General features: G+C 35.7%; 1 protein-coding gene across 4 annotated transcripts in view, besides 1 other annotated feature; it reads left to right on the top strand.

Annotated features, from left to right (window-relative positions):
* The window catches only part of TSPAN2 (tetraspanin 2), a 41493-nt gene extending 35236 nt beyond the window's left edge, over nt 1-6257 (top strand). For 2 of the 4 annotated variants that reach the window (NM_001308315.2, NM_005725.6), the window contains 2 exons: nt 806-889; nt 3713-6257. In NM_001308315.2, the coding sequence (NP_001295244.1) occupies nt 806-889; nt 3713-3778 (150 nt within the window). In that variant the 3' untranslated portion in view covers nt 3779-6257. The remainder of the gene's footprint in view (nt 1-805; nt 890-3712) is intronic. The other 2 variants (XM_016999996.2, NM_001308316.2) reach the window with 1 other exon arrangement.
* Nucleotides 7061-7597: an enhancer, noted in NCBI's record as "NANOG hESC enhancer chr1:115589292-115589828 (GRCh37/hg19 assembly coordinates)". NCBI's record gives its function as "activates a minimal SCP1, AML or CMV promoter by ChIP-STARR-seq in naive H9 embryonic stem cells {active_cell/tissue: H9 hESC(naive)}" and the evidence as "EXISTENCE:reporter gene assay evidence [ECO:0000049][PMID:30033119]".

Here is a 12126-nt window from a genome sequence, read left to right as displayed (position 1 = left end):
ATCAAAGGAACCAACCAGTGACAAGTGAACAGATCTGAACAACCTGAGGGTACAGTTGGATTGAGAGCATCCCTCTACTTAAGAGCACTCCAAATAGGAGTGTTTGAAGTTGGAGAAACTAATAATAGTTACAGGTGATCTATTTGGCTTTCTGTCTAAGTTTCCCCACATCCATGAAGGCCCTTTGAATCTATGCTGCACAGGTGTCTTATGGGCACAGATGAAAGGATAGGAACTCACCCAGCACAGCCCAGCCCAGCCACCACAGGAGAGAATGGTCCTCTAGCTCCAAGACTTGGCTTTTCTAATTCTTGGCTTTCCTTTGTTTAACTTGAACCTGTTAAGACTTTTTAGTTTCTTAATAGGTCATGCCTACTTTGCATAGTAAATTGGGTCAAAGACATAGAAAGTATTTTAAACTGTAAATGACAATATGAAAACAAAGAGTTATTGTTTTAAGGGTATTTTACTTATTTGCTACAAGTAAGAAGTGGCTCCAAATTTTTAGATTCCTTGGAACCAGACAAATAGCTTCCTCCAGTTATATTTCAGGGCTCCGAAGAAGCCACTGGCCTAAACATGAAAATCTCACCCAAAGGAGAGGCTTCTATTTTTTTCCCCAAACTGCATTTTTGCATTAAGCTTATTAGGATGATGTTATCAAAGATGAATTGTTGAAACATGAGTAGAAGCTGGCATGGATTAACTCTCACAGAATGAACTGTAGAGATGGAAAGGATAGGATCAGGATAATGACTGACACATACAATCAGTTTTTATTCCCGACTTTTTTTCCTCAAAACAGAATTGCATCGATGAAATTGAGACCATAATCAGTGTTAAGCTCCAGCTCATTGGAATTGTCGGTATTGGAATTGCAGGTCTGACGGTGAGAAAGTTCTAGAACTTACCCTTTTTGCCCTCTAAAAAGCCTTGAAACTTTGCATCTTATTTCTTTTCAAGTGTGATAGTATCTTAAGAGAGAATTCTCATAAAGAAAAAAGACCTTTGTTCACAATGTATTACATCTTCTAAGAACAAAGCTCATAAATATATTAATAGTTTGTCCTCTAAAATATAATAGAAATTTCAACTTTAACTCATTATGACCTTGAGTGTGTCATTGTTATTAACTTCCCGTTTTAAGGCTACTATCCATAACCTAGATAAATGATTTTCAGTTCTGGGTCTCTTTCTACTGTTACAAATTCAATGCAACATATCAGGTTAATCTCTCTCACCTACGATTTGAAGAGGCAGCAGAGCATAGAGATTAATAGGGCGAGCTCTGGCATCACATGGTTTGGATTTAACTCTAGGCTCCACCATTTGCAAGCTCTGAGATCGCAGGAAAATTTCTTAATTTTTCTATACCTCAATTTCCTCGTCTGTTAATATATAAACCTTATAGGATTGCCGTGAAAATTAAATGGGATACTACATATACAGTAGTATTACAAATTAATATAAATAAAGTGTCTGGGACATATAACACTCAACAAATGCCAGCTCTCTGCATAATCTACCAGGCAAAGGCAATGGCATAGATGGTATTAAGCGTAGTGCATCCAGACCACCACCAGGTGGCTCTGTACTTCTAAAGTACAAAAGAAGAGTGTGTGGGAAGAATGGATAGCAGCGGACAGGTATGGCAGGAGTTGCGAGAGGTGGTAATGGAGAGAGTATTCGATCTACATCATTGAGATCTTTGTATGCCCCTTTGAAAGGGTGGGCTTCACCCTTAAGGAAAGGGGAGTCACCAAGAGTTGGAAGAACCTGTGGTAGAGGATAGAGGAAAGGTTGGAGGGAGGCAAGATTGGATTTGGAAGGCGGGTTAAAGGATGATTTCCATTGTCCAGGGGTTGGATGATAATAGCTAATGCTAAGATGGCACTTAGTCTCTAGCCCTCTATGTAGATTAATTCATGGCCTAAACTAAGGCAAGGGCTGTGGGAATTGTGAGGAAATCAGTGAATTTGCAGTTATCAGGGGACACACAAGCGCCTTCCCCTTTTCTGTATTTAGAGCACAGAGGGGTGGAGAAGTGGCTGGAAATACTCTGCTGAGGCCCTCCAAATCAAGGGACATTTCTCAGGTCCTCCCCACCTGCTCTGGGGATAGCCTGGCTGCAGTTCTGCAGCTCCCCAAAGGACAGTCCTGAGGCAGGTCTGAGCGTGTGCTGCATAATGGAGAGTTTCACAATCTCAGCAAATGAGCAGCCTAGAAGCATTCACCCCTGACTCGTGTCGGCAGTAGGCTGAGACTGAAGGAGTCTCACTGAAACCAGGATGGGTAGGGATTACATCCAACCTTATGGCAATGATAAAGGGGAAATGCCCATAGTGAGCCTATCTTGAGTCGGCACCCCCAGGTTTCTTCGTTAGTTCTTTTCTCTGTAAAGTGAGAGTTGCACAATGTAATCAGCTAACTAAAAGTGCATTGGGTGTCGCCCGTGCTACACACTGGTACTGAGTCCTGTCATCCAGAAGCTTGAAATCCTGTTCCTGGCCATGCCCTTACCTGCTTCTGCCCCTCCCTTTTCAAAACAACTGATCATTCATATCTTATTGAATTTAGCACTTACAGATCCTAGTCTGACTTAGGATGGAATTGAGGAGAGAACCAGAAAGTTATAGTACCCATTTTTTAAAATAAGCATTGACAGTAGTTTATGGAATGGTGCCCACAGATAGGGTTCCATGGGCTCTACAAAATTGTAGGGGAAATAATAGCGGACAAGAAGACTCTTTGGCATTCTTCTATTCAAACCATGGAAGTGGATATTGATTTCACTCAAGTATTTAACTTCTCAGAGAACTATCCAAAAGGTAAAAGTCAATAATACCATAGTATAAACCCTTTAGTTTATGTTTTGCTAAAACTATTGAATTAAACAGTGAAGCATCGTTTGCCCTTAAAAATGGACTGAGAATGAAGTGATGCTCCACTTTTTTTTTCTTTTTTTGTGAGACAGGGTCTCTGTCACCAGGGAGTGAAGTGGTGCAATCACAGCTCACTGCAGCCTCGACCTCCTGGGCTCAATAATCCTCCCGCCTCAGCTTGCCAAGCACCTGGGACTGCAGGGACACACCACCATGCTCAGCTAATTTTTGTATTTTTTGTAGTGACAGGGTTTCACCATGTTTCCCAGGCTGGTCTAGAACTCCTGAGCTCAAGCGATCCTCCCACCACAGCCTCCCAAAGTGCTGGGATTGCAGGCATGAGCCACTGCACCCAGCTGATACTCCATTTTTGGATGTATGGACACTGTTGTAAAAAATCAGAGCTTTTCCAGCAATAGAAAATTATTTAGACCACAAGCATATCTAAACAACAAGTGGTTATGGACACAGTTTTCAAAATAAACATATAAAAGAGATCTAGGATTAACCTGAAATATAAAATTCCAAAGCCAGTATTGTGTCTGTCTTTCACAGGTATTCAGAACGGTTCTATAATTCTGAAGCAGGGTAGGTTCTTTTAAAGCAGAGCCTTGTTACTTGTTAACAATAATAATACACATTTAAACAGTTAATCTAGAATTATTTACCCCATAGCCAACCTTAAGTAACATACTAAAATGTCATTTGTGACTGGTAATTATTGGTTATAATTATTTGTTAACTTGAGTTAGACACCCAGGAAGTCTGCTGAACTTTTTACCTATCAGTACCCGTTTCAAAGTCACTGATGAGTGTTTCTTCTGTTTCAGATCTTTGGCATGATATTCAGCATGGTCCTCTGCTGTGCGATACGAAACTCACGAGATGTGATATGAAGCTACTTCTACATGAAAATTGCAATCTAAAGCTTTCATACCAAATGTCACAGGAGCTGTCTCCCAGCTCATTTTTAACACTGAAATGACATTAGGATCTAAAATAATTTGCTGTCAATTGTACATTTGCATGAGTACGTATGTTTGGCTCATTACTGGTTTACCCCTTGAGTGAATGCCTGTTTATGATGACTGAGAGCATATTCATGTGTGATCTGCGTGTTTCTGGAATATGCTTTATACGTAATGAAATCTGTTTGCTGGGAATTCCTGATTCTTGTTATATAAGAAGAACAACCTATTTCGCTCCCAGAAAAAAAAGATCAAAGAGCTTTCAGAAACTTTGAGAACTTGGCTATTTAGAAAAAGTGATAATGGGTCAGTTTCTCAGACTGTAGCCATTGAAAATTAGATGCAGAGAATTCAGAGATTTCTTCTTAATGGAAGTAATAAGCTGTAAGAATTGAGAGATCACAATGGAGTGTTAAAACTGACTGTGTCTAAGTTGGGTGTAAGGGTTTCCTGGGTTTTTTTATATACATGCTCTCCCCAGAATACAGTAAACCACAGTTTTAGAACTAAACACATCTGTAAAACTAAATATAGCATGGAAAATCCAATTTGAATAAGTCATGCTTTCCTAGAATTTAAAAATAAAAAAGTCTTCCTCTGGAAAGAGAAGTCACACAGACAATCATGTGCCCTATAAAAGTGAGTGTTTATAGGACTAAAAAACTTTTAACAACTTTTTAAGGAAATATTTTTGTTCTTATACAAAAACATGTAAATATTGCTTTATTACTTTCATTTTCTGACCCTGCTGTAAACTACTGCAACCCTCACATCCTCAAAGGGACTTTTATGTCAAACTCTTCTGTTTCTCCAAATATAAGGAAAAAAGACTAAAGCAAGAGATCTGGCAGTTGAAAATTGTGGGAAAGAGAATTTGTATGGGCACTGTATCTATGAAATACCTCATAACTTACGTTTACATGTTTTCCTAACTTTTTGTATTTTTCTTGTATAGCCACCTAGAGAATTCTTCATAGATTAAGAACTACAGTTTTCACCACTTAACATAAGTAAAACAAAGTCCTTCATAATTTAACCATTAGCATCTTTGGCCAAACCAAAATAAAGAAAAGCATCTTCTCCTAGTTGTGTGTGGGCAACAGAAACAAGTTAAGGAAACAAAAATACTTATATATACACAGAACAAAAATAATGTTCTTTTTATGCAAATCCCCTGTGAAAATAAAATTTTCAATGTTTTTTTGGTCTTAACGCTTCATTTTAACTTAGTAAACCCAAATTTAGGATTTACATTGGCAAATTTTTCAGTGATTTTTAACGTGTTACATTTAGTAAACCATAGATTTTTTAAAAACTACATTTTGTAAGGCCACACATAAGTGAAAATACGGAAGGCTTTGGAAACCCCCAGATGAACTTCTATACATGTGAAAACACAAGTCTTTGAGTGTGCACTAAAAGTGTCACACTCCCAAAAAACTCACAAAACATTTTGCTAAAAAGATATGACTGCTTGAAATAGTCTCTCTCCCATGGAGAACCACATTTCTCTTTCTGCCATACTTGCTACTGCTACTGATTTTGGAGGAAATTTTTCTAGAAGAACAAAGGTCATATTTGAGGCAAGCTAAAAACTTAATTATACATGGCTACTTTACTGTGTCTGTAGCTAAAGAAAAATTATTTTACAAAAATTACTTCATGAAATATAGTTTGTACCCCAGTAGTTGAGAAATGTGACCTTTTAGGCAAAGAACAGGCAGTCCATCTCTCTTAGCTTTAGTTTATCTCTCTGCCTGAAGACAGGAAACAGGCCCAAGTGCATACTCGGGTTCTTTCCAACTCAGAATCATCTCTGATTCCACAAAAGTGAGTTTAGTTTCCTATCTGAATTAACAACTTTAAAGGAGACTATAATAGTTAAAAGTGGAAGAATAGAAATAAATAAATTTAAAATGAAATTAATTAAAGTAGAAGAGAAGGGTTCTGTTCCATGTACGATTAATGTGCCCCTTTTGGAGATAAGCTTTCCAAAATATGCGTATGAGTAAAATTAGAGAATTCCACCACTAAGCAACAATAGATTTTATATGTGTGTGTGGATATATATACACACACACACAGAAAGATGAATATATATATATATATATCTGTATAGACACACATATAATATATATAGATATATAATCCCTATATATCTTGAATCTACAAATATCTTTATATGTATATAATTTGAATATATACATGTATGTATATACAGATGTGTGTGTATATATATATATACATACACATATACATAAATTTTCAGCTATTTCTGTTCCCCTGAACTAATTTGAGATTAGACCCAAACATGCTTTTAAATGTCTCATGCCAAGGCACTGAATTAAGACTTCTTAATGTTGAAATATTTTAAGTGATTTCATATTAAATTTTCTATATACTGAAATTGCTTGTTTGATTTATCTTAAAGTCCTATTATATCTTTCTACAAACCTTCACGCAACTTATCTAAATGTCAAACTACCAATCAAATAATGTGATTAAAAAAAAACAGAGTGGTAACCCTTCTATAATTTGCTATTGGTAGTTGACTTAAAAGCAACACCCTAAGGACTCTTACTGCATATACAGTCATCTGTCAGTATTCATAGAAGAATGGTTCCAGGACCCCCTGTGGATACCAAAATCCACAGATGTCCAAGTCCCTTGTATAAAATTGTGTAGTATTTGCATGTAGCCTATGCATATCCTCTCATATACTTTATTTTTTTAATTTTTATTTTTTTATTGTTACATAATAGTTGTACATACTTTTGGGATATATGGGATATTTTGATATTAGCATACAATGTGTAATAACCACATCAGGGTAATTGGGATATCTATTACCTGAAACATTTATCATTTCTTTGTATTGGGAACATTCCAGATCTTCTAGGCCTTTTAAAACATATAATAAATTGTTGTTAACTATAGTCACCTTATTGTGCTACCAAATATTAGAACTTATTCATTTTATCTAACTGTATTTTTGTACCCAGTAATCAATCCCTCTTCATCCCTCCCTGCCTGCTACCCTTTCCAGCCTCTGGTAACCACCATTGTATTTACTACCTCCATGAGATCAATTTTTATAGCTCCCACATATGACTGAGAACATGATTCATCTTGATGATATTTGTCTTTCTGTGCCTGGCTTATATCACTTAATATCCTCCAATTCTATGATGTTGCTGCAATTGACAGGATTTTATTCATTATTCAGCCATTGTCATGGCTGAATAATATTTCATCGTGTATATATAGCACATTTTCTTTATCCATCTGTTGATGGACTCTTGGGTTAATTCTGTATCTTGGCTATTGTGAATAGTGCTGCAATAAATATGAACATGCAGACATCTCTTTGATATACTGATTTTCTTTCTTTTGGATATATACCCAGCAGTAGGATTGCTGAGTCATATGGTAGTTTTCTGAGGAACCTCCAAACTGTTTTGCATAGTGGCTGTTGATTGTTTCCTTTGTTGTGCAGAAACTTTTTAGCTTGATGTAATCCTATTTGTCAATTTTTACTTTGGTTGTCTGTGCTTTTGAGGTTTTACCCCAAAAATATTTGCCCACACCAGTTTCCTGAAGCATTTTCCCAGTGTTTTCTTCTAGTAGTTTCATAGTTTCAGGTCTTATATTTAAGTCTTTAATACATTTGAATTTTGTGTAGGGTGAGAAATAGGGGTCTGGTCTCATTCTTCTGCATGTAGATAACCAGTTTTCTCAGCACTATTTGTTGAAGAGACTGTTCTTTCCCCAGTGTAAGTTCTTGGTGCCTTTGTCAAAAGTGAGTTAGCTGTAAATACATGGATTTATTTCTGGGTTCTCTATTCTGTTCCATTGGTCTATGTGTTTGTTTTTATGCCAATACCATGCTGTTTTGGTTACTATAGTTTTGCGGTATACTTTGAAGGAAGGTAGTGTGATGCCTCCAGCTTTTATTCTTTTTGCCAACGATTGCTTTGACTATTCAGGAGTTTTTGTGTGTGTGTGGTTCCATGTGAATTTTAGCATTTTTTTTCTATTTTTGTGAAAAAATGTCATTGGTATTTTGATAAGGATTGCATTGAATCTGTGGAACACTTTGGGTAGTATGGTCATTTTAACAATATCAAGTCTTCCAACCCATGAACATGGAATATTTTTCCATTTTTTTCTGTCCTCTTCAATTTATTTCATTAACATTTCATAGCTTTCATTATAGAGACCTTTCACTTCTTTGGTTAAATTTATTCCTAAATTTTTTTGTAGTTATTGTAAATGGGATTGCTTTCTTGATTTCTTTTTCAAATTGTTCACTGCTGGCATATAAAAATACTACTGTTTTTTTATTTTGATTTTACATTCTGCAACTTTACTGAATTCATTTATCAGTTCTAACAATTTTTTTGGTGGAATCTTTAGGTTTTTCTAAATATAAAACATGTCTTCTGCAAACAAGGATGATTTGACTTCTTTCTTTCCAATTTGGATGCCCTTTTTTTCTCTCATTGAATTGCTCTGGATTGAACTTCCAGTTCTACGTTGAATAGAAGTGGTGAAAGTGGGCATTGTTGTCTTTTTCCACATCTTTTAATTTTTGGCCAGGTGCAGTGGCTAACGCTAGTAATCCCAGCACTTCGGGAGGCCGAGGCAGGTGGACCACTAGGTCAGGAGTTTGAGACCACCCTGGCCAACATGGTGAAACCCTGTCTCTACTAAAAATACAAAAATTCTCTGGACATGGTGGCACATGCCTGTAATCCTAGCTACTTGGGAGGTTGAGGCACGAGAATTGCTTGAGCCTGGGAGGCAGAGGTTGCAGTGAGCCGAGATCACACCATTGCACTCCAGCTTAGGCGACAGAGTGAGACCCTGTCTCAAAGGAAAAAAAAAAAAGAAAGGCTTTTAATTTTTTATTTTTCCGTGTTCAATATGTGATGTTAGGTGTGGGTTTATCTTAAATGGCTTTTAATGTTTTGAGTTATGTTCCTTCTATCACCAGTTTGTTGAGAGTTTTTATCATGAAGGATACTGAATTTTATCAAACGCCTTTTCAGTATCTATTCAAATGTTCATATGGTTTTTGTCCTTGTTACTATTAATGTTTATTGATTTGTGTATGTTGAACCATCCTTGTATCCCTGAGATGAATCCCAATTAATTGATCATGGTGAATGATCTTCTTAATGCGTTTTTGAATTCTGTTTGCTAGTATTTTGTTGAGTATTTTTACATCTATGTTCATCGGGAATATTGGTCTGTCATTTTCTTTGTAGTTGTATTTTTGTTTGGTATGGCTATCAGGGTAATGCTGGACTCATTGAATTAGCTCTTCAATTTTGGAGAATAGTTTTGGTAGAATTGGTGTTCTTTAAATATTTGATAAAATTTGGCAGTGAAGCCATCAGGTCCTGGGCTTTTCTTTGATGGGTGACTTTTATTACTGCTTTTACCTTATTACTTGTTATTAATCTGCTCAGGTTTTCTACTTCTTCATGATTCAATCATGGTAAATTGTATGTATTTAGAAATGTATTCATTTTTTCTAGGTTTTTCCATTTATTGGCATATAGTTCAAAAGTCTCTAATGATCTTTTGTATTACTGTGGTATCAGTTTTAATGTCTCCTTTTTTGTCTCTTATTTACTTAGGTCTTTCTTTTTTCCTTAGTCTAGCTAAAAGTTTGTCATTTTTTTATCTTTTAAAAAATTTCATTTTTCATTTTGTTGCTCTTTTGCATTGTTTTTTAGTGTCCATTTTATCTCTACTCTGGTTTTTATTATTTCTTTTCTTCTACTAATTTGGGATTTGGTTTGTTCTTGCTTTTCTAGTTCTTTAAGGTACATCATCAGTTTGTCTATTTGAAGTCTTTCTACTTTTTTGATATAGGCATTTATTACTATAAACTTCCTTCTTAATGCTACTTTTCCTGTACTCCATTGGTTTGGTATGCTGTATTTCTATTTTCATTTGTTTCAAGAATTTAAAAAATATTTTTAATTTCTTCATTGACCCATTGGTCATTGAGGAGCATGTTGTTTAATTTTCATGTATTTATTCAATTTTCAGTGTTCTTCTTGTTATTGATTTCTAGATTTTATTCCATTGCAGCCTGAATATTTGATATTATTTCAATTTTTTGAGTTTGCTAAGACTTGTTTTGTGCCCTTGCATGTTGTCTTTCCTGGAGAATGTTTTCATATGCTGGCAAGAAGAATGCGTATTCTGCAGCAGTAGGATGAGTGTTCTGAAAATGTCAGTTATGTCCATTTGGTCTAGAGTGTAGTTGACTTTTCATGTTTCTTTTTTTTAATTTTCTCTCTGTATGATCTATTTATTGGCAAAAGTTGGGTTTTGAGGTTCCCTACTATTATTGTACTGGAATCTAGCTCTCTTTTTGTGCTCTGATGTTGGGTACAATTATATTTACAATTGTTATATCCTCTTGCAGAATGATCCCTTTACCATTACATAATGACCTTCTTTGTCTCTTTTTGCAGTTTCTGACTTAAAAAGAGACAAAGTGTTGGGTCTTGTTTTTTCATTCATTCAGTCACCTTGTGTCTTTTAAATTGGAGAATTTGGTCCATGTTTACATTCAATGTAATTAATGATAGGTAAACACTACTGCCATTTTATTGTTTGTTTTCTGGTTCTTAAGTCCTTTATTTTATTCTTACTATCTTTCTCTGTGGTTATCTTCCCTGGTAATACATTTTAATTCATTGCTTTTTATTTTTACTGTATCTATTATAGGTTTTTGCTTTGTGATTGTTATGAGACAAAAAATCTTATAGTTATAATAACTTGTTTTAAACTGGTAACTTTCATCACAAAGAAAAGAAGCAAACAACCAAGTTTTTTAGTTGTTTTTAGAAGAAACTAAAAAACCCTACAATTTAACTCATCTTCCCCCACTTTTTGACTTTTTAATGTCTCCATTTTTAACTTTTTATGTTGTTTATCTCTCTCTCGCTTTTTTTTTTTGAGATGTAATCTTACTTTGTCACACAAGCTGGAGTGCAGTGGCGTGATCTCAGCTCACTGCAACCTCTGCCTCCTAGGTTCAAGCTATTCTCCTGCCTCAGCCTCCCTAGTTGCTGGGATTACAGGTGCCTGCCGCCATGCCTGGATAATTTTTTTTATATTTTTAGTACAGCCAGGGTTTCACCATGTTGGCCAGTCTGGTCTCAATCTCCTGACCTCGAGTAATCCACCCGCCTCGGCCTCCCAAAATGCTGGGATCACAGGCATGAGCTACCACACCCGCCCTTATGTTGCTTATGTCTTAACAAATTGTTGTAGTTATTATTTTTGATAGATTTGTCTTTTAGTCTTCATACCAAAGATATGAGTGGTTTACTCACCACAGTTAATGTATGAGAATATTCTGAATTTGTGTATTTACTTTTACCAATGAGCTTTATACCTTCAGATGATTTCTTGTCACACTTTAGCATTCTATTCTTTCAGATTAAAGAACTGCCTTTAGCATCTTTTGTAAGTCAGATCTGGTGCTCATGAACTCCTTCAGCTTTTGTTTGTCTAGCAAAGTCTTTATTTCTCCTTCATGTTTGAAAGATAGCTTTTTTGGGTACAATATTCTCAGTTGAAAGTTTTTTTCCTTCAGCACTTTGAATATGTCTTCCCACTTCCTTTTGGCCTGTAAGGTTTCTGCTGAGAAGTCTGCTGCAAGACATATTGGGGCTCCTCTATATGTTATTTGCTTCAAAAGAAAAGCAGCCCTTGCTGCTTTTAGAATCCTTTCTTTATCCTTTACCTTTGAGAGCATAATCATTGTATACCTCAGGGTAGTCTCATTTGGGTTGAATGTGCTTGGTATTCTCTAACCTTCTTGTGCCTGGATATTCATAACTTTCTTTAGGTTTAGAAAGTGATCTATTATTTCTTTGAATAAACTTTCTACCCCATCTTTTTCTCTACTTCCTCTTTAGGCCAGTAACTCTTAGATATGTCCTTTTGAGGCTATCTTCCAGATCTCGTAATGTACTTCAATCTTTTTTCTTTTTTCTCCTCTGACTTTGTGTTTTCAAATAGCCTGTCTTTGAAATCACTCATTCTTTCTTCTGCTTGATCAGTTCTGCTGTTGAGACACTGTGATTATGCATTTTTCAGTTAATCAGTTGTACTTTTCAGCTACAGGATTTCTATTTCTTTTTTATTATTATTATTTCAATGTCTTTGTTAAATGTCTTTAATAAATTTCTGAATTTTTTCTGTCTGTTTTCTTAAAGTTCATTGAGCTTCCTCAAAACATCTAT

Source organism: Homo sapiens, chromosome 1, assembly GCF_000001405.40.
Source record: "Homo sapiens chromosome 1, GRCh38.p14 Primary Assembly".
NCBI classification, from domain to species: domain Eukaryota; kingdom Metazoa; phylum Chordata; class Mammalia; order Primates; family Hominidae; genus Homo; species Homo sapiens.
The sequence above is the reverse complement of the archived record's forward strand: the minus strand, read 5'-3'. Positions and strand labels throughout refer to the sequence as shown.